Below are 22,163 nucleotides of genomic sequence, written 5' to 3' on the forward strand. Positions count from 1 at the left end.
TTTTCAAATAGTGGTAGCAAAATATTGGCAGTAGCTTTTAGAGTGTAGTTTTTTCTGCCCTTCTCTGATGAATAGATAGGATTGATTCGTTGTACAAATGGGTCCTTGTCAAATAACTGAAGGTAATTTTAAACTACTTGAGAGTATTTTTCTTTTCTCCATTTTTGTGAAAGCTATGAAAATTTCTTGAAGATTTAGCCCCATCCTAAATTAATGCACATTTGAATTATTGTGATTTCTTTTTCAAAAGCACAAATCAGTTCCCAACTATCTACTATTGTAGTAACTTGAAACCTGCAGAAATGGCTTCCTGCTTCAGGAAGCACCTCTCTTTCCTTTTTTAATCTCTACAGTCAGAGGTGACAGAGAGGCCTGAATCTCCTAGCCATCTTAAGGCATCACACCTCCTTAGCTTATGGCTCCAGAATCAGCAGAATTTGGGTCAAATTTGGGTAATTTGGATGAAAGATTTGGGTAACTTGTATTAACACATTTAACTTGGCTAGCAAAGGAAATGGAACTGTGCAAGCTGAGGGTATTCTTCCAGCCCTTTGGTACACCCCATAGTGGAGCTTTAGCTTTGCCCCTGTGAAAGCCATGGTAAAGAAGGGCAGAACGCTGCTGTGGCCTTGGCAGCCTGCTCACCTTCATCTCATTCCCTCTTCTTAGTTTCACTGTGGTTTGGTTCTCAGGCTTGGATATGCTTTGTTTCTGCTTGCTTTTTCTGTGCTGATGTTGTTTTACAAAATTATCTATTTCTATTTTTATCTATTTTATTTCTCTTTTCTTCCTCACTCCCCAGTTTCTTCAAAATTAATATTTTATATTCTGCATACACAAATTCCAATTTGGAATTTTAAAAATAGAAATATTATAATAATGAAGACATTAAAAAACCCTTTGACAAACTATTAGGTCATTTCCAGATATGTTACTTAAGAACACTTTACATTTCAAAAAGATGATGTATGCACATGGTGAATTCAAGTGTTCAAAAGGGTAAACATTGGAAAGCAAATCTTTCCACTCGTATTCCTCATTTCTTCTCTCTGGAGTCAACTGTCGATACTACTTTTATTCATTTCTATTTTATCCTTCCGGAGATAGTCTATGCATATACAAGCAGATAAATCTATTTTTATAAGATTTAAAATGTATGTTTTAGCACTCTGTGGGGTACGTTTTATATCTTTTGGAATTAGCTAGTGAGGCTGGCAGTGTTCATACTTTTTGAAGTATACTACTCTACGCTGTTTCTTTGTGAAATAAGTATTGACTTGCATACTTATTATACAAAAGGATCTATCTTATATGTTTCCCAGTGTTAGTGGTCAGACATGGCGTACTTTCTGTTTTCAGTTGTGTTGAGCTTCTTACTAATTTTGACCTAACCCGTTTATTGGGAACATAAAGTACAAATTGTTTGCGTACTTAACCTCAGTAGTGGTTAAGGGTACTAAGGTGACTGGATGTTCTGTTCTGATTTTAATGTAATTGGCAAAAGTGTACTGAGCACCTTATCCTCCAACTCATATATTATTCTGACTTTTTCCAAGCACTTTACAAGAGTATATTATAGTCAGGATCTTGAGGCACAAACGAATTGAAATTTTCACAGGGCCACTTCACAACTTAGTAATGGAAGCAAGCAATATCACCAAAGATCCCTGGCTCTCTGGCTTTCAGCACCAATTCAGAACAGTTTTACAAATGCATTAGAACTCTGCTAACTATAGAGGTAGTCTGATGTAATTTGACACACGTTATTTCCAAAATGTCATAGATTACCCTCCCACCCCCCAAAAACCTTGTAAAGGCCCTAGTGAAAGATCTTTTTCCATCCTGTATTTCCTCATTTTTCAATCTGTTAGGTTTTCAGCCTTTTTTCCCACCTACTGTTCCTCCTCAAACTGCCCCAACAGATTTTGAGTAGAGTTACATTACCAATCCATTTCACAATCTTGATGTTCTAATTCAAAACCTATGTATTAATGTGTGCCCATCTGCATTCCTGGAAAGCTAATCCAATAATGTATCCTGGAAAATGACCAATGAAGGTACTTGGTGTTGCTTTTCAGTCAAAAAAAAAAAAAAAAAGAAGTCTTAAAAAAAATCGTATTTGGAAGAGTTCTTACAGTATGGGACCATGAGGAAAAGCTTTTAAGTTCCCATGTTTGCTTCCTTACTAGCATTTTAACTTGAATACGTCTTTCCTACCATCCCTTCGTTTCTCTGTATTTAAATTGTATATAAGATTATTGCCCTTGAATTGTGTAAGTTTGAGTTTAAGTGGTTCTGAAGGCTCCAGACAAAAGGTGCTGCTTAAACTCAGTGACATTATTTTGACAGTGACAGTTCACCCTCTCCACACACTTTTTATTCTTTTGAACTGCTGATTGTATGAAAGAACAATGTAACTTCCTTGGCTTTTTTGTTAAAAATTTCTAAAAATTCTGTTGGCATTCTGCTTGAGACAGGTTTTTTTGGTAATAGCTATAGTGCCTGTTGCTAGTGGCATAGCACCTGCTCTATGTTGTCTGCTGTTGGTGGTGAGGAGTTTACATTGAAAAAGAACTTTTCAACCTGAAGTTCCGAAAGCCCTAGCTGAACACAACACAGTTCAATTTTGACACACTCAGTGTTGGAATAGAGGGCAGCCACTATATAGACACTTAACACTGTGTGGTTAGAAAGAACAAAGTGTCTTGTACTAAAACAAACTCTTATCTTTTAGCTTACAAATGGGAATCTTGAGCAAAGGGCAGCCCTCTATTTTCAAGGTCACTTTACTCATTATGATATTGATGCCATTTATCATGAAAATTTTTGTTCAGTGGATGGGCATGTGCTCAGTGAGCATCTCCTGTGTTCTAGGCATTTGTAAATTGATTCCACAAAGTCCAGTAGATCATGGTCCTGGTAGTAATCTAGGAAATGAGCCAAGTTTAACAACCACTTTTATATTCATACTTTTTTCAAATTCTTATTACAAACCTGAGAGGAAGGTTTAGACCATACATAAGTGAGAAAATTAAAGTAGGGAGAGATTAGATAATTAGCCTGTGGTTTACCCAGCTAGGGAAAGAGCTTAAATTTCTTATGTCCATGTGCTTTCTATTGTACTACAACTTCCTCTTAGAATTAACATTTATATATTTTAGAACTTTACAATGGCCCTTTAATCCAACTAGTGCATTTGTATATTTTAGGGCTCTACAGCAACCCTGTAATCCATATAGTAGAGACGTTAATACCTTATTTTATAGTTGAAGACACTTGAGATAACAGTGACTTGCCTGATGGCACAAAACTATTATGTAGTCAGAACTGGGTGGGCGTAAACCTGCCCTTCATCCTGAATTCTCTGCCCTTTCTTCTCAGCACCTGAGAGGCTAGCGATTTTAATACTCGGCAACGTTTATCAAACCGTTACCATGTATAATAAACTATGCCTGATGCTATGAATTGATACTGAAAGAAATAGGATTACACAGTTCCACTACCCTTTATAATGTAATGGTAGAGATAGGATAACCACATAAGAAAAATACCTAACGTTCATTATAATTAAACAATATAAGCAAAAGTAAACCAGTAACTATAGTGAAGTAAATATGTCACCACTAATTGGAAGCAATTTGAAGCATTATCTGGCTAATATCAAACAGCCTTCTGAGAAGCTTTTCGGTGCTTGTTCCTGCTAGTTTCTTCTAGGAAAAAGTACGGGTGGTGATTTTTCAGCCTCTTCAGGGCTACTGGCTTCTCCCTTGTAATCTATAACCATGTTTGGGTCTTTCCTATTTTAAGATATAAAATCTTGACAGTTGCCTGGATTCCCTACTCTCTTATCATCCCATCTTCCTTCTCCACTCCCAGCAAAACTTCTCAAAATATTGGCTAAACACTCTACTGTCTGGCTGTTTTCTTTCTTTTTCTTCATGACTCTGTTTCCTCTGCCTGTCCCTTAAATATCAGTGACTATTGTCTTATTGTCCTTATTCATAAAATTTTATATATCGTAATGGTGTCCAAATCTTCATCTTTAGCTCATTTTTCTCATTCAACTCCAGATTGTTTCCCTGGATGTTCCACAGGCACTTCAAATTGAACACGTATAAAGTGGAATTCATCATTTTCTTCTGTAAAACTGGCTCTGTTCCTGCTTTCTTGTTAGTTAATGGTATCACCAGTCACCTGGTCACCTGAACTAGAAACCCTGGGAGTCATTTTTGACTTTACCTTCTCCCTCAGCCCCTGTAATTTCTGAATAGCTTGCTTTTTAACATGATCGTGAATCTGCCTCTGCTTTCTATTTATTCTACCAGTGAATCACTTCAAGCTCTCACGATCTCTCTGCTGTATTTTTGCAGTATCTTCCTAACTCTTCTCCCAGCCTTCAGTCTTGTTTCCTGCATATTCATCAGCTCCATGATTCTCAGGATGAGTTTTCCCTAAAACTTCGTTGTTGTATTCCCTTCCTTAAAACCTTTCAGTTTTTTCCGTTTCCTGTAGGATAACATTAAACCTCCTAATGTGGTATACAAGATCTCCTCTGAGGCTCCTAGTTAGATGCTCCTGACAATGTCTACCATTGCCAGGCTGCTTTGGCAACATCAGATATTTTGTGCTTACTCATATATACCATAATACATTTTGACTACAGTTCCTTTTCTTATGATATCCCTTCTTCTCTGAGTACTCCAGAGCCTGTATATCCTTCTCCCTACTGATTATTTTAGTAAAAAAGCCTGATACCTAATAGTTGAAATTACAGAGGTCAATTTTAGCTGCCTATATTTTGATTAATATGCATCATAGGCCAGCCCCTTAAGTAATGAGTTATCAGGTTGTTAGAAGTTAGCGTGTTGTTTAATATTACCTGTTTTAATGTATGCATGAGTCCTTCTCAGTACTCATCGTCTCAGATGCTGGAATCATTCAGTGTTTGGACCCTTAGCTGATGCTAAACAGAAAGGACTCTACCCAAACTCAGAACCAAAAGAGATGACATTTTGTATTATTTAGGATTAGGTCCAGTTATAGGTAACTAAAAAATTGAGAAGAACAATGGCTTAAGCAAAATAGGTTACTTATCTGTCATTGAAATTTCCAGAGATATGTACCAGTATGGCAGCTCAGTTACATGAAGTCCTCAGGGATGCAGAGCCCTTTCAGCAATTCGTCCCACTTTTCTTAGTGTATATTCCTTGGGTTCATTGTCTGGTGGCATCAGTTTTCTAGGCAACAGATGGAGGAAGAAACAAAGGAGGGCAAGTGGCACACTCTGGTCATCTTTTAACGATGATTCTTAGAAGCTGCCACAGAATACTTGGTTTCTAGCCCATGAGCTAGAACTTAGCCAGCACTCATTCCCAAATACAGTTATCCAGTTATCCAGTTAAAGGTTCTTTTACTATGGAAGAAGATAATGGATTTTAGGGACAGATATTAAAGGATTCATCCAAACTGTTTAGCCTGATGTTCAATCTGTACCTTCTTTTTCAGACCTTTCTTCAATTACTTATCCACATGAATCCTATGTACCAGCCAAAAGCCTTCTCATTGCCCTTGGTTGGAAGTGATCAACTCCTCTTCTAAATCTTGTAATAGTTTTCATCTGTATTGCAGATATATGCTCAACTGTTATTGCTGTCATTTGTATATGTAGCTTCCCTAAATTGTAAGCTGTCACCACAGTATATGTTTCTGGGGTCAGTAACTAAGTATCATATGTCTTGCAATGCCTAGTCTAGTACTTTATACATAATGGGTTTTCAATAAATACTTCTTATGTGAGTAAATACATAATTACATAATTTGATTATTTCTTGGTTTCTTGTAGCATTTTAAGAAAGAAAGATGGATCAACCTAGTGGAAGAAGTTTCATGCAAGTATTATGTGAAAAATATAGTCCTGAAAATTTTCCTTATCGCCGTGGCCCGGGGATGGGAGTCCATGTCCCAGCCACACCTCAGGGCTCTCCTATGAAAGGTAAGAAAGATGGGACCTAAAACACTTATTTAGTGGAGCTTACTTAGGATGTTAAATCACAGTGTTGCCTTGTTTGCAAATGATTTATTTTATTTTTAATTACAGTCAAATAGTCTTTCCCCCTTGTTATGATTTCAGTTTTCTAAAGAACGTAACAGGACTGGTTTTCCTCCAGATTGATTAAGAGATGTTTTAGTTGCATGTGTATGACAGGAATAATATTTGAGTGATAATATTTCAAATGCATATTCTTTTATGGAACATAGAGGGTACAAAACAGTACAGGACTGGCCTGTGCCCTCCAGGACCTCATAGCCTAATTGGTTTACAAGACATTCACATTTACAAAGGTAAATAAACACAAGACAATTTATGTTGAGCCAAATGAATGGTATAGTGATTTGGAAAGAAATTTAAAAGATAATTAATATGATCAAGAAATGATTCAAAGCTGTGAGATTTTAACTAGTTCTTCAAGAATGTAGAATTTGGTTAGAGATGAGATACATTCTAGGAGAGGGATTAGATGTGAGCAAAAATCTGTAACTAGAAGTGTGCAAGGTATATTTTTGCTTGTCTTTTAGCTTAATGTTGCCATTAACAGTTCTTGGAAGTAGTTTTTTGTAATTGTGGGGGATTAATATTGAGTCACTGTTTTAGTTCTTACTTTCAAAGGTTACTGAGTGTTTGCTGTTTCTAAATACAATAATTTTATCTCTATGTAACCTGGAATGGCAGAGAGAAGTGGATTTCTTACTTGGTAATTTTTTTTTTCCGGGATCCATTCCCACTGTGATAAATATGTTGCTGAAAGTAGCAAGTTGAAAACCATGTAATTTGAGGTCTCCATTAATAAAGTACTACCTTGATGAGTCCTTGTTTTATACCAAATGGGAAAAGAGTGGTTGCATTCTCATGTTTATCCTTTTTAGTAGAGATTGTAAGAGTGATTTTATTGACACATGTGTTTTTGAACCAGGCAGTAGTCAAAAAGTTGTTACCTCAGTTTGACCAAATTCAATGTTAATAGTTTAAGACTGAAACACTTTCTTCCATTACAGTTAAATTTTTAAAGAAGGCTAATTTTCATAAGGGACAAATTCTGTAGGGATATGAAATGGAGATAATTGATAGACAAGAGAGAGAGATGTAGAGTTCTGAATGGATCCACTTAAGTGAGGAAGATTTCTTGAATGATGTAAACTTAACAGAAGTGATTTAGTAGATTAATGGTTTGAGATGATTTTCAGAGGCACAAAAGATAAAGATACACATCAGATAGAGAGAAAAGAGCCATCCAGAATACTTTGGAACTAAATTTCAAAAAGAAAGAATTGAGGCCTATAAGAAAGTACTGGTAGTCCACACATGAATTTCATGGATCTCTTGTTCAGATGATAAGATGATAGCGTGGATGAGGGCTCTGTTGTTGGTAATTGAGATAAACAATCCTGCTATGAGTTAAAGCCTAGAGGACTTTTTTTGGTGGTACGGGTGCAGTACTTCTGAACTCCTCCTGGGCAATAACTGGCTGTCTCCTCTTAGGATTCAGTACCCTTTGGTCCCATTATATCCTGTATTTTCTAGATCCTTATGTAATTTCACACAGTTTGATTTTTGTTTCTTGACACTTCCTGGGGGCTGAACATATGTAGACAAGAATTTGGCTGATATAGAAAACATTTTGTGTCTCTCATCATTCAGATCGCCTCAACCTCCCAAGTGTACTAGTGTTGAACAGCTGTGGAATAACCTGTGCAGGAGATGAAAAAGAAATTGCTGCTTTCTGCGCTCATGTGTCGGAACTAGATCTTTCTGACAACAAACTCGAAGACTGGCATGAGGTGAAGTTTTTATATTGCTACATTTTAGTGAAAAGCAGCAATAACCATTGTGTCATTGTTTATGTTATTATATGTTCTGCTAAATTCTGTTCTCACTTGATGTCTGTATGACTTCTTGTTGTCTGTATATCTTATTGTCTGTATGTCTTTATATCAAGATAAATAAGGCCTATAATCCCAGTGCTAAGGAGGCTGAGGCAGGAGGATCACTTGAGCCCAGGAATTCAAGACCAGTCTGGGCAACATAGCAAGAACCCATCTTTAATTTAAAAAAAAAAAAAAAAAAAAAAGGCAAATAACTGACTCTATCTATGGTGATTTTTCGTTAGCTTTGTTATTGTTATTGTTGCTTTGTTATTGTTAATTTATTTTTCATTGTTCATTTGTTTTCATCAATCACTAAGGAAATTTAGGCATCAAGAGGTTGATTAGTCTTTGTCAGCTTAAACTGCTAACAGTGCATTAAATTTTCTACTGTTTCACTAATTTATACATCTTATGCTCATTCTCTACTTCTACTTCAATATTTATTACTGAAAATTGACATAAAATTGTTGAAACTGAGAATATATATAAATATATTTATTCTTGTTATTGAAATTTATTCAAATATTTTACAACTTTTCTTATATTATCAAATCCCTTGGGTGGTTTGACATAACTGATGTCTTGACCTCAGAGTAACTATAAACTACACACATAGTTTGTAAAAGTACACAAATACAGTTTTGTAACATTCTCTTATTATTATATGTAACATTACCTACCTGCTTATAACATTACCTGATAGGAGCTACCCTGAAGAAGAAGGTTAAAATGTTCTTCCTACTTGGTTCATTCTTCTGCCTTAATTTGGGCTCTTATTTTTTGATTTGACTTTAGGAAGACTTTCCTAATGGGTTTTCCTGGATCCAGCTTTATTCTGTTTCTGCTAAGCTGTCTTCCGTAGTGCTACCACAGACTCCTTTTAATATATGACTCATGATTATGACACTGTCCTGCATAAAGGCCTACAGTTGCCTTTCTTTGCCTAGAAACTAAAGTCTGACTCTATAAGCATGACCCTTCATCATATGGCCCTTTGCTATTTCTAGAACTTTTTCTCCCTCTTTAGCCATATACTTTTACTTGCAGCTCATGATAAACTCAAAATAAAAAGCTTCCTTGCTTTTATTCATTCTGAACCCACTGCTCTCTTTCTTTTCTTGTCTACCTGGCCACTTCCTATTTATCCTTCAAGACTTGGCCCAAGTTGCTATTCCTCTGTGAAATTTTCCCTGGCTGTCTCACAGACAGAGTCAGATTATCGCAGAGCACCTACACTATACCACTGTGAAAGGATTTATCACAGTCTTGTATAATGACTTGCTTACTTGACAGTTTTCCTAATAGACTATGAGCTTATTCCAAGTGGAGATTTTTATCTTTTTTTTATCATAAGCCCAGCATACCAAGTAGTCAAATATTTGTTGAGTGCGTTAATGATTAAATGATTATATCTTAAGGATTAATCAAGACCTCTTGTTCCAACTTTTCCTGTGATCTTAAGAAATTTACTTAATCCTTTAGAGCTTTAGTTTGCTTATCCATAAGGTAGGCTTGCCGATAAAATTAATCATTGAAACACTTAGTAGATATTGAATGCTATACAAATCCTAAGACAGATTTCTTGTTTAAGAAAAACCTATCCATAACCTAGTTTTGGTAAGCTTTTCTTAAATTTCTCTATTTTATGCCCTTGTTAAATCTGGTAACTGTGTTCGTGGTTATATTTCCTACTTTTATTAGGATTTTAACCAAAATTCTTTGCAATGCATGTCACCTATTTCTAAGTGATTTATTAACATATGCAAATTTATAGGGCTATTCTAAAAAATAATTTCTATTTGTATATATATTTATTTACTTATCTGAACAACTTGTATAGTTTACTGTTTAACAAATTACAGATTGTGCCTTCTTGGTCCTCTGCAACATTTAACTGCCATGCATGCTTTATCTGCACTTCAAATTTGTTTCTTTGGAAATACAAAATTTTACAAAGGTTTTGTGCCTGGACCATGTATATAAGCTTTTGCTAATTGGTGGGAACAGTTTAATAGTGATGTAGTTGCTACCTCAGGAGGAAGATGTGTGTAATATGGATCAGTATACAGTGTGTACACTAAGTAATTCAGCATTTTTCCCTGCTTAGACAAAAGTCTATGTTACATTTTTCTCAAGCCACATTGACATATATCCAGAGGGTCACATACTTATTTATACTGTATTTATACTCAGTTTGTGTATTCCTAAGTGCTCTATAGTCTGTTTTCAGGCAGTTTTCAAGTAAATATTTGTTGCTGCTACTTTCAGGTATCCATTTTCTAATTTATTTTTGTTTTCATCATTCCTTTATATTTCCTCTTTATCCTTAACTGTAGTTGATCCCAGTCTTCTAGAGGATATATCAGAACATAGAAAAGGGAGAAATATGACAAAAGAATGTTGATTTTTAGGATTGATTAAACTCTTGGCCAGGCTACAAATGCTTCATAGGTCGCCTGTTTTAGGACATTACATTTCAACCCCATTATAACCCATATATCTGATTACCAAAAAGATAATTTGTCCTTAGCTATTAACGGAATTTATTTCAGCCAGTATTGATAGGGCAATGTGGAACCAGTTGTATAATTTTTCCCTTAGTTTTTTGGATGACCAAGAATATTATAGGTTATGAGTAACTTCTTTTGTAACTTAATTTGCTGGCTGCTATATATCCAGAGACTAAGATAAATATGGATGAGAGAAGTAATACTTCTGGGGAGGCAAAGATTTGTCTTCACCCTTCTAAAATTGGGCACCTATGTTTAAAAATAATGCATTTTTTTTTAGCTTTTGACTTGAATTTTTGGCTGAGTAGATCTTTGTCTGACCTTTCCCAAGCTACCTTCTTTTTACTCCATTCCTTATCAAAACCATTTTATAAAAGAAATTAAACCTAGTGGTTGAGAGGAGGGAGGAAGTAGCCACTCAGGTAAGGTAGAGAATAGCTTAGGTACAGATGACAGATTGTTGTCTTAAAACCCTTTTCCCATTTTTCTTAAATCTTCAGTTTCTTCCTTTTTGGAAGCCAAAGTAAAGGGTCCCCTATTACATCATAGAATTGTAGAAACCTAAAATGTGATCTGAGTTCATCTCCATGTTTCTGCACATGAGCATACTCATTCCAGTTAGAGGAGTCTTTTTTATTTTTAGAATTTAAAAAAGAGAAGTCAATATACTGCCCTAGAAACTCATGGAATGTTTGTCGGCTTTTGGTACTGGCAAGTTTTTCTGTCATAAGTAAATTTATCTGTGTAATGAATATTATGTCTTCCTGAGTCTTATCAATTTGAGGTTACTCAAAAAAACCTTTTTTATTTTATCCCTTTAAAGAAAATATTCATTTATTTCTAACATTTGTTATTTTTCCTGCTTGAATGATTAAATTCTAGTTCAGTTTTACCTTTTAGGATATTCTAGGGTTAACAAGTCATTATTCTGAATATTAATTTTCACTGTACAGTAATGCTGATGCAGACCATGGTGATTACATCATATATCTGCTAGCCTTGGGAAATCTCCCAGAAATTGTTTCAAAACCCTTAAATTATCTATTTTTTAAAGCGTTTTCCTCTTTATTATAAAAATAAAATATGAGTGGTAGTAGTTAGCAAAGGGTTTATGTTTTGTTTTTATTTAACTGGGGTTGTCCTATAAGTTATTCTTCGTGCTTTAGTTGGAGCATAATTCCTGTCCCCCTCCAACCTCCACAAAGAGGTTAAGTATAGCTGGTAAGCATCTTCTGTATGAAAGTTCTTCGTATCGGTATTCAATCATAGAATGCAGTACAGATTGGTTCCTGCATGAACTATTTAGCTGTGTTTTGGTCACAGACTGAGCTCCAAATACTAGCCATATATTGCACAAATGTTTGGTACCATTTGATCGCAAAAGGGATCAAGCAAGAGAATATGTGCACACTGGTATAAATTCCTTACACTTTAAACAGAAGCCTAGTATATTTTCTCTAAAAGGCAGCTCATTTCTTCATTTGTAAAATGAGGATAAAAATGGTACCCACTTTATAGGGTTAGTGTGTGGAATAAGTGAAATAGTGAATGCAGGGAACCTTTTCTTCTCACCTACTCTTCTGAAACTTCTTGGAATTAATCTACTTCTCACTGATTTTAGAGCTCCTGAACTCAATGTTTACACAGTAGATCTGATGTAAAGTACAGATTACTTTTTCTTTCTACCCATGGTTCTCCCTCCTGGATACTCTTTTGGCATTACTTCTGGAGCTCTGAAAAGAAAGATATTCAGGTTGCAACCCTGAAGCTTGTCCCACCTATGAAGCTTCTGATTCAGTAATTATGGTGGAACCTTGGAATCAGCATATTTTAAATTCTGTCAGTGATTCCGATGGGTAGCTAAGGTTGAGATAATGGTTCATATTATGCTTATGTTCATAATAGTTACATTTATTAAATGATTTTTTGCCATTAAGTTATTCAATAAATAAGTGTCCACTATGCAGTAGTGAAGTAGGTAAGTACTATATCTGCTTTTATAGAGCTTACATGCTAGTTGGGGGTACGTAGGGAAACAAGTTTCAAAAAAATGTGTCACTTGCTATGCTAAGCACTTTAATGTGTATCTCATTTAATCCTACCAACAGATGGGAACTATTTTCCCTATTTTACAAATGAGGAAACTGAGATTTGGAAAGATTAAGTCACTTGTCTGAAATCACACAGCTAGGAAGTGTTGGAACCTCGTTTGAACCCAGGCTTTTTGACTCTAAAACTAATCCTAACTACTCTTTTCTCCTTTTCTTATAGCTTTTACTTACCACATTGCCTGGTTGTTTGATGCTTAATACATTTGCTGGACATCTAGCATTTATTTCATACTTGTTTAAGCTGATCCTTCTCGCAGATTGTGCCAACTAGTCTTCAGTTTTCTTTATTCATTTTTTCTGCTTATATTTATGATGTATAAATATGGTATATTGGAAAGAAAAATGGCTCTGAGTTTTAAATCCCAGACGTGACCTTTGTAACTGTAAGGCCTTAGTCAAATTATTAGTCAGATTCCTCATTTATTAAAATGAAAGTAGTATTATCTTGCAAGTTGTTTTGAGAATTTAATGAATAAACTATATCAAAGAGACTAGTACCATGCAGACCAAATAGCTAAGGTCAGTAATGCTCATTTTCTTTTTTTCCTTTTTGTCTACCAAGTTGCTAGCTAAATCGTTGATAATCTTGTTTTCCCTTTCGTTATATAGTTACGGATTTTTTTTTTGTTTTTGAGTAAACATATTTTAAAGTTTGGTACATCTTTGAACCAAATTGAAACTGTTTTCTAAGTGATTGTGATAATGTAGTCAAATTTAACACATGAATTGTTACCAGGTGAATTTTAACCTTTAATTAGCCTTAATATTTTGCCAAGAATGAGAGGAAGGAGATATTCGAAGAGGATTATATGAACTAATCTCAGCTCTTTAAGAAATGTCATCAAAACTGTCTTTTCTCCACTTATCAAAGAGAACGTCACATAGAGCAGAATCAGAAACCTTTCTAAAGGCGACATAGGAAATCTTCCTTTTTACCATTAAGTTCTGTTATGTACCAGTCAGTTATGCCACTATTTCATTGAAAGATTAAATTATTTGCCAAGGTTTGTTGAAATCACTTATGTCCCTCTGTGAGTACCGTCACTAAATAATAGGACTCCTTGATGTAAATGGCCCTTTGCCTGGAGACCAGCTCCTCTAGGCTTTCTTGAGCATGATTGCTATTTAACAGCTCTGATTACTGCCTGATAATGCTTTTCTTTTTTTCTCCTTAGGTCAGTAAAATTGTGTCAAATGTTCCTCAGTTGGAGTTTCTAAACCTGAGTTCCAACCCTCTGAATTTGTCGGTTTTAGAAAGAACATGTGCTGGGTCCTTCTCTGGGGTTCGCAAACTTGTCCTCAACAACAGCAAAGCTTCTTGGGAGACGGTCCACATGATACTACAGGAGTTACCAGAGTAAGCCCAGAGAGCATGAGGGCGAGGGAGTTATGTTGCCATCTGTGTTAGTACATAGGAGTACTGCTGATCTCCCACGCAAGAAATACTAGAACTGCAGATTGAGTGGAGAAAGAGGTTAGAAAAACGAAGTTATTGGAATGAGAATGTGAGGGTAATCTAGTAGCATTTCCAGTGGAATACATGTTCAGTGTTGAGTAGCACCAAGACATGGGATATGTCATCTCTGAGCTAGAAAATACCCCTGAGAAGCACTTATCACTCTAAATCAACTCAGCCTTACTCTGTTTTAATCTTCTGATATGAGAATTGAGCCTCAGCCCTTTTCTTTGGGAGGAAAAGTCATAGTATCACTAAAATGTGTTAACATTCAGATGATTAAGTGCCTAGCTGATCTGATGGGAAAATTGACCTAGTATTGTTTTCAAAAATTTAAGAAAGAAATTTTATTTTTGTCAATTAAAACATGCTTTATTATGTTTCGTTTGTCCCTATCTTTGTATTTACATGTAAGTGTGCAAAGGAAATTTAAAGAGGCTGTAGTTTCTTTGACTGTCTAAATATGGAAATTCTCAAAGCCCTTTAGAATCTTGTCCATCTTAATTTCACACTCTTCATCTTATTCCGTCTTAATTTCACACTCTAACTCTAATGAGATTGGTTTCCTCACTGCACCCAACACCCAGCATGGCAGAGAATGAGCTTTTAAGTGCTAGTTTCACTACTAACCATATGACCTTTGATAAGCTACTTAACTTCTTTGAGCTCAGTTTCCTTGTCTGTAAAATGGGCATAATTGCATTTACCTGCAGAAGTAGGACTAAAATCTATAATACACCTGGCATAGGGTCTGACACAGGGTAGGGATTCAATAAATGATCGTTATTATTTCTACTTCTAAACATTTGTTCATGTTGTTTCTGGAATTTTCTTCTATCTCCTTTCAACTTATGGAAGTCCTCCCCTCCTTCAAGGCCATGTATTCTTCTGATTATTCTAAGTATAATTTTAATTTCATTCTTATGTGAATGGCTATTATACTTACAGTCAGTACTGCTTAATTTAGTACTTAATTATTTAAGCACAAAAGTAATTTCGCACTACCTTATATCATTCTTCGCTATTTCAGTGTGTACTTCAGGTTTTGTCTTCCCAGCTATATTTTGAACTTCAGGAAGACATCTTGGTATTTTCTCCACAATTCCTAGCAGAGTCTCACATATAGTAGGCACTTACTTATTTATTGAATGAATGAAAATAGGTGTAAAGTAGAAATTAAACTGCTTTAAACAATGAAATATTTCCTTTTTTCTCTGCAGTTTGGAGGAGCTCTTCCTGTGCCTTAATGACTATGAAACAGTGTCTTGTCCTTCTATTTGCTGTCATTCTCTTAAGCTACTACATATAACAGACAATAACCTCCAAGACTGGACTGAAATACGAAAGTTAGGAGTTATGTTTCCTTCACTGGATACCCTCGTCCTGGCCAACAATCATTTGAATGCTATTGAGGAGCCTGATGATTCATTGGCCAGGTTGTTTCCTAATCTTCGATCCATCAGCCTCCACAAGTCAGGTGAGGTTCAGGCTTGTTCTTATTCTACATGCAAATTAACCTGAGCATATGCATGAAATACAATGAAAGTATATTTCTTTCAGTCACAGTTTTACCTTTTTTAGAGTGAATTTTCTATATGACATGCAGATGCCTATGATTGGCTAAATTTAAGAGATTCATTTTCATAAATGATCTGATAAATATTAAGTGGCATAGCATTACATTGACAATTTATATTTTATACATTAAAGGGGTCATGCTATGAAAAAAGTGAAATGAAATTGATGCACTGGATATTAAAAGACACAGTAAAAATAGTACAAAGAATTACAAAATAGACCATTTTATCTGGACTTAGTTTAAGAAATCCCAACCTGCTGTCTTTTCAAATGCTGACTTTTTTAGTATCTGTATGTAATTGATTGTCAGTTTATTGCCATTTGATCCTGTGTATCACAGGAATGAATTTATTTAGCTTATTTCTTTTTTTATTGATAAACTTTATTTTTTAGAACAGTTTAAGGTTTACATTAAAATTCAACAGAGAGTACAGAGAGTTTTCATATACCCCTTGTTCCCACATATATACAACTTCCCCCACTGTCAGTGTCCCATAGCAAAATGGTACATTTGTACATAGCAAATGGTACAAATGGTACATTTGTACCATTTCAGTCAATGAACCTATGTTGATTTATTGTTATCACTCAAGTCCATAATTTACCTTAGGGTTCACTATTGGTGGTGTAAATTCTACGGATTTTCACAAATGTGTAGTGACATGTATCCACCATTGTAGTAACATTCAGAATAGTTTCCCTGCCCTAAAAATCCTCTGTGCGCCACCTATTTACCCCCTCCAATCCCGGCAACCACTCATCTTTTTACTATCTGCATAGTTTTGCCTTTTCCAGAATGTCATCTAGTTGGAATCATACAGTATGTAGCCTTCTCAGATTAGCTTCTTTCACTTAGGAATATGCCTTTAAGTCCTCCATGCCTTTTCATGGCTTGATAGCTCATTTCTTTTTAGTGCTGAATACTATTCCATTTTCTGGATGTACTACAGTTTATTTTATCTACTCACCTACTTACTGAAGGACATCTTGGTTGCTTCCAAGTTTGGGCAGTTATGAATAAAGCTGCTGTAAACATCTGTATGCAAGTTTTTGTGTGGACATGAGTTTTCAGTTCATTTAGGTAAATACTAAGGAGCATGACTGCTGGATCGTATGGTAAGATTATGATTAGTTTTATAAGAAACTGCCAAACTGTCTTCCAAAGTGGCTGTATCATTTTGCATTCCCACCAGCAGTTCAAGAGTTCCTCTTGCTCTACATCCTTACCAGAGTTTGATGTTCTCAGTGTTTTGGATTTTGACTATTCTAATAGGTATATTGGGGTATCTTGTTTTAATCTGCAATTCTCTAATGATGTATGATATTGAACATCTTCTCATATGCTTGTTTGCTATCAGTATGTCTTCTTTGGTGAGGTGTCTGTTCAGGTCTGTGGCCCATTTTGTAGCCAGATTGTTTTTTATTCCTTATTATTAAGTTTTAAGGGTTCTTTGTATATTTTGAATAACAGTTCTTTATGAGATATGTCTTCTGCAAATACGTTCTCCCAGTCTGTGACTTTTTTTCTCATTCTCTTGATGTTGTCTTTTAGCTTATTTCTGAAAATACCTACATAATTAGAAATAACTCTAACCTACAACTGAAGAAACATAAACTTAGTTTAATTTACCATAGAGGTTTTAAAAGTGGGAAATAAGTTTTAAAATCCAGTGTTTTGCATAAGGAAGCTGTTTATTTCACCTTGTCACCCCTTGAGCTAACTTTTCTTCCTCCTTGATGGAAATGCCATTCTAAGGGATGAGGATAGTTGTGACTTGGGGTAGTTACACACCAGAGACCTCATAAATTGCTCCTCTGTCTTTACCCTTGCTGAAGGTTGATAAAAATAGGATGGGACTATGTTGTTCTATGAAATAGACTTGATGATGCATTGTAAAATTGACCAGCTTCATTATTATAGAAAAATTTTTCCTGTGTGGAAGACCTACCTGACTTAGAAGTCAAGTATTGACTTGGAGAATACATTTTCTCATAGCTATAAGAAGAGTTTCATTTTAGGACTAAAAATCTTAATTTGTTACATATTCTCCTTACTCAAAGGTTCAGGTTTTTTGTTTTTGTTTGTTTTAAATTTTAGATCCATCTCTCCTGTCACCAAATTGATAATACAGTCAACCCTCCATATTCATGGACTTCATCCATGCATTCAACCAACTGCAGATTGAAAATACATGGGGAAGAAGGGTAGTTGTGTCTGCACTGAACATGCACAGACTTTTTTCTTGTCATTATTCCCTAAACAATACAGTATCACAATTATTTACATTGTATTAGCTATTAAAAGTAACCTAGAGATAAAGTATGCAGGAGGGTTTGTGTAAGTTATATGCAAATGCTATACTGTTTTATATAAGGGACTTGAGCATCTGCGGATTTTGGTATCTGTAGGAGGTCCTGGAAACCAGTCCCCCATGGATACGAGGGACAGCTGTATTTAGTTTCTGGTTCTGTTGACCTTGCCTCATTTTAGAATTTTTCAGGTAAAAATTTGAGTATGTTAGTATCAACTCTGATCGATAGTTTTATTCCATGAGTCTATATTTGAGTGAAATGAGTTGGTCACATAGCTTTCTTTAAATTACGTAATCATGGCATACATCCTGCTTATTGATGAAACTACTACCAGTGACCCCTCTTTATAAGTCACTTTGGTAGAAAATGAGTAGATGAGAGGATGTTAGACAATAACACTCTCTTAACCCGTGGATCACAGAGGTAGGAGAGGCTATGGGGAAGTTTTTGTGGTTTTAACTGTGTTCTGCTCTTGCCTTGGATGAAGAAAACTTTCAGACCGTTTAGTTTATGATCATTTTAACATTTCAGAAGTTACTAATTGAGCTAATATTTTTGCTATGTTTCTCTTCTTATTTATGTGCATCTCTGGATTTACTTAAACAATATGTTCTCAAATTAGGTTTGCAGTCCTGGGAAGACATTGATAAACTAAATTCATTTCCCAAACTGGAAGAAGTGAGATTGTTAGGAATTCCTCTTCTGCAGCCATATACCACCGAGGAGCGAAGGAAATTGGTAATAGCCAGGTCTGTTGTCCTGATCGTTTTGCTTTATTTTTGTGAGGCCTTATTGTTTCATTAAAGGAATAATGCACTGTTTAGTGGGAGTGCACTATGAAATTATTCATCCTTTGAGCAGACTGTGCTTGAGGGAGCTGCCCCTGTAGCTCCAAATCCTGGATGAAAAGGAATGCGAGCACTATGATGAGGAAAACATGAGATGTAATTGGGCTGCTGACACCACTGAAAAATATTTCTACAAATCTGTTTTTATGCTTTTCAATACTTAGAATATTTGAAGTCCTGTTTTGGGTCACAAAGTAAAAGTACGTACAGTAGGGAATCATTTCTATTCTTATTTTCTCTGTTAACATGTTGATCATTTAGATTGTAAATTCCTGAAACTTGGGCTGTTTCATTAGTGGAAAACTTAAGAGGGCAGCATCTGCATTTTCTTCTTGAATGTAGATTGACTTAAATATGACCACAATTATTATCTTCTGTCTGACTCCCCTTGCCTTTTGTGTCTCAGCCTCTGCCTCCACATACTCGGGAATTTCCCATGAGTATTTATTTTTGTATGAACCTTTAGCAGAAATAAGATTTAGGCTAAAATGCAAGGGCCATAGAGCTTTGCTTTTTTTCTCTTTGTATACTATACATAGCAGTTTTGAAAGGGGAACTGTAGGCTTTAAGGTTCTCTAAAGAAGAGTGGTTCTTTAAACAGGTTGTTGATCTTTGTGACAATCTAATGCTTAGCAGATCCTTATGCTTTGCAGTTGTTAACGTACACATTAATATCTTTCTGAAGAAATAAATGTGAGCATACTTTTCTTTGAAGAATACGTCTTGCAGTAGGTCTTGTGCTTTATTTTCTTTACACAATTCTTTTGCAAATATAATAAGTTAATTCTTGAATTATATAACCCAGTTTTACTGACTACTCTCTAGACTGGGCTGTTTAATATGGTAGCCATTAGCTATGTGTGGCTATGAGTACTTGAAATATGTCTTGTCTGAATTGAAATGTGCTATAAGGGTAAAATAAATACTGGATTTCAAATATTTTATATGACTAAAAATGTAAATTAGCTCATTTAAAAATATTGATTACATGTCAAAATGATTATATATTCTGGATACATTGGGTTAAGTGAAATATATTATTAAAATTAATTTCATGTGTTTAATTTTTATTTTTTAAAAATGCGGCCATTAAAGAATTTAAAATTACATATGTGGCTTCATTATATTAATGTAAGTTGGACAGTGCTGCCTAGAATCTTGTTGTGCAAGGGGAGGTATGATTATGAAAGTTCAGTGTCACATGAAAGTGAAACTCAATTTTTTTTGTCCTTTCGGTTTAGACCACTTTAGTTCATGTCAGTAGTTGTATACAAATGGAACTACATCAAATGTGTCCTTTCAAGAAAATAAGACTGGGCCACAAGCCAATTAGTTTCTTTCTAAAGCTAAATATATTAGTATCTTAAAAAATGTCTTTATTTTGGTTTTAACTTATAGATTGCCATCAGTTTCCAAACTTAATGGCAGCGTTGTTACTGATGGTGAACGAGAAGATTCTGAGAGATTTTTTATTCGTTACTATGTGGATGTTCCACAGGAAGAAGTGCCATTCAGGTAAAAAATTCCCCATTGGCCAAACACTTTAGAGGGTGGTGATGCCAGTTAAGAACTCTAGTGTTAGAGCAAAATCTAATCATTTGTTATTGGACCCTTCTTAGAGAACTTTGTTAATACGTTAAAAAAAAGGAAGAAACACAAGAGCAAACCTATTTTATCTCATTTTCCACAGTATATTTCTTTCAGCTTTGCACATGTATTAACACATGTATTAAGAATGATTGGGTAAGTATTTGACAATTCCAGTAGTTCCTGCTGCATACTCCATATCACTGATTCTTTTTTGATCTTTTTCTTTGGGGTACATTTTTACCTACCCCCCCAAATTAGTCTGTTCATTCATGTTGGATCTACTTTTAGGATATACTAAGTTCTCCGGTTAGGAAGATTTGGCAAATGTGCAGTAAGTTCACAAAATATGAATATGAGAAAAGGACTGGAAAATAGACTCTTGAGGAAATATTAAAGGAATTAGTATGGTGAATATAAAGAGAAATGCTGAGGGCTAAATTAGTAAATATCTTTAAGTATATGAAGAGTTAATAAATATTGTCTAGTGAGGAACTAACTTTAATTCTGTAAATGTAAAAGGAAATGTAGCAGGTATGATATAGGCAAACATTCAAGAAAAAAAAATACCCCCCAAAACAGGTTTCTGGGTATTGATAACTAGAATCGGTTATTGGAAAAGTTATGTGCTTTTCTTCCTTAATGACTTTAAGGATAATATGAATACCCATTTGACTGGAGGAGTTTTAGACAAACAGCCTGAATGTGAGTCACATTAGTTGTTCTTTTGGTTACAGAATGTCTGTGGCTTTAATTTATTCTGTGGTTCTAATTCATTCTTATTGAATGTGTCTATTTTCCCCCCAAAGTTCTCTATTGTTTGTAGATTTTAAGGGGGTTAACATTCTATAAGTCTCAATCAGTGTCATATAACAAGACTTTGTGGTATCATCAGTAGTGTTTTAAAGCCTAAGCATTTAAGAATATCAGACAAATTAAGTGAGATTTTTAAGATAACTTTTAAAAACAATCTGAGAACAACTAGGTAGGGGAAAATAGATACTACTTTATCATTTAACACAACCTAGGTATATTAGGTTAAACCAGATGAAATTTTTTTTAGGTAAAAAATGCTATAGTATCTATGGTTTCATTTGGTTTAATCTAACATATTAATGGATTTGTTAGATTAATAAATATTATAGCTTTGAGCATAAGTCTGCCATCAGAGTTTATTTAACTTCCAGTCTACTACAAAAGGTTTTTTGTATGTAGACAGACACACACATACACATATATATATATACATGTACATACATACATACATACGTCCATACAGTCATCCATTGCTTAATGACAGGGACATGTTCTGAGAAATTTATCATTAGGTGATTTTATGTTGCAAACATCATAGAGTATACTTACACAAACCTAGGTGGTATAGCCTACTACACACCTAGGCTATATGGTACAGCCTATTACTCCTAGGCTATAAACCTGTACAGCATGTGACTATAATGAATGTTGTAACACAATGGTAAGTATTTGTGTATCTAAATACATCTAAACATAGAACAGGTACAGTGACGACATGGTATAAAAGATAAAAACTGCTATACCTGTCTAGGGTACTTACCACGAAAATCTTGCGGGACTGGAGTTTGCTGTGGAAGAGTCAGTGAGTGAGTGGTGAGTGAATGTGGAGGCCTAGGACATTACTGTACACTACTATAGACTTTATCAACACTGTACACTTAGGCTGTACTACATTTATACAATTTTTTTCTTTCTTTAATAGTAAATCAACCTTAGCTTAGTTTAACTTTTTTACTTTATAAGCTTTCTAATTTTTTAAAACGTTTTGACTCTTTTGTAATAACATTTAGTTTAAAATGCA

General features: G+C 34.9%; 2 protein-coding genes across 4 annotated transcripts in view; both read left to right on the forward strand.

Moving 5' to 3' along the window:
• Nucleotides 1-22,163, forward strand: part of TBCEL-TECTA (TBCEL-TECTA readthrough) — a 167,389-nt gene that overhangs the window by 15,730 nt on the left and 129,496 nt on the right. Inside the window, exons 2-7 of the mRNA NM_001378761.1 lie at nucleotides 5,843-5,992; nucleotides 7,697-7,836; nucleotides 13,720-13,901; nucleotides 15,221-15,477; nucleotides 18,514-18,640; nucleotides 20,138-20,254. Of these exons, the coding sequence (NP_001365690.1) occupies nucleotides 5,860-5,992; nucleotides 7,697-7,836; nucleotides 13,720-13,901; nucleotides 15,221-15,477; nucleotides 18,514-18,640; nucleotides 20,138-20,254 (956 nt within the window). The 5' untranslated portion in view covers nucleotides 5,843-5,859. The remainder of the gene's footprint in view (nucleotides 1-5,842; nucleotides 5,993-7,696; nucleotides 7,837-13,719; nucleotides 13,902-15,220; nucleotides 15,478-18,513; nucleotides 18,641-20,137; nucleotides 20,255-22,163) is intronic.
• The window catches only part of TBCEL (tubulin folding cofactor E like), a 66,675-nt gene that overhangs the window by 15,730 nt on the left and 28,782 nt on the right, over nucleotides 1-22,163 (forward strand). For all 3 annotated transcript variants that reach the window (NM_001363644.2, NM_152715.5, NM_001130047.3), the window contains 6 exons: nucleotides 5,843-5,992; nucleotides 7,697-7,836; nucleotides 13,720-13,901; nucleotides 15,221-15,477; nucleotides 18,514-18,640; nucleotides 20,138-20,254. In NM_001363644.2, coding sequence (NP_001350573.1) covers nucleotides 5,860-5,992; nucleotides 7,697-7,836; nucleotides 13,720-13,901; nucleotides 15,221-15,477; nucleotides 18,514-18,640; nucleotides 20,138-20,254 — 956 coding nt within the window. In that variant the 5' untranslated portion in view covers nucleotides 5,843-5,859. The remainder of the gene's footprint in view (nucleotides 1-5,842; nucleotides 5,993-7,696; nucleotides 7,837-13,719; nucleotides 13,902-15,220; nucleotides 15,478-18,513; nucleotides 18,641-20,137; nucleotides 20,255-22,163) is intronic.

Source organism: Homo sapiens, chromosome 11 (assembly GCF_000001405.40).
Source record: "Homo sapiens chromosome 11, GRCh38.p14 Primary Assembly".
In the NCBI taxonomy this organism is placed as follows: Eukaryota; Metazoa; Chordata; class Mammalia; order Primates; family Hominidae; genus Homo; species Homo sapiens.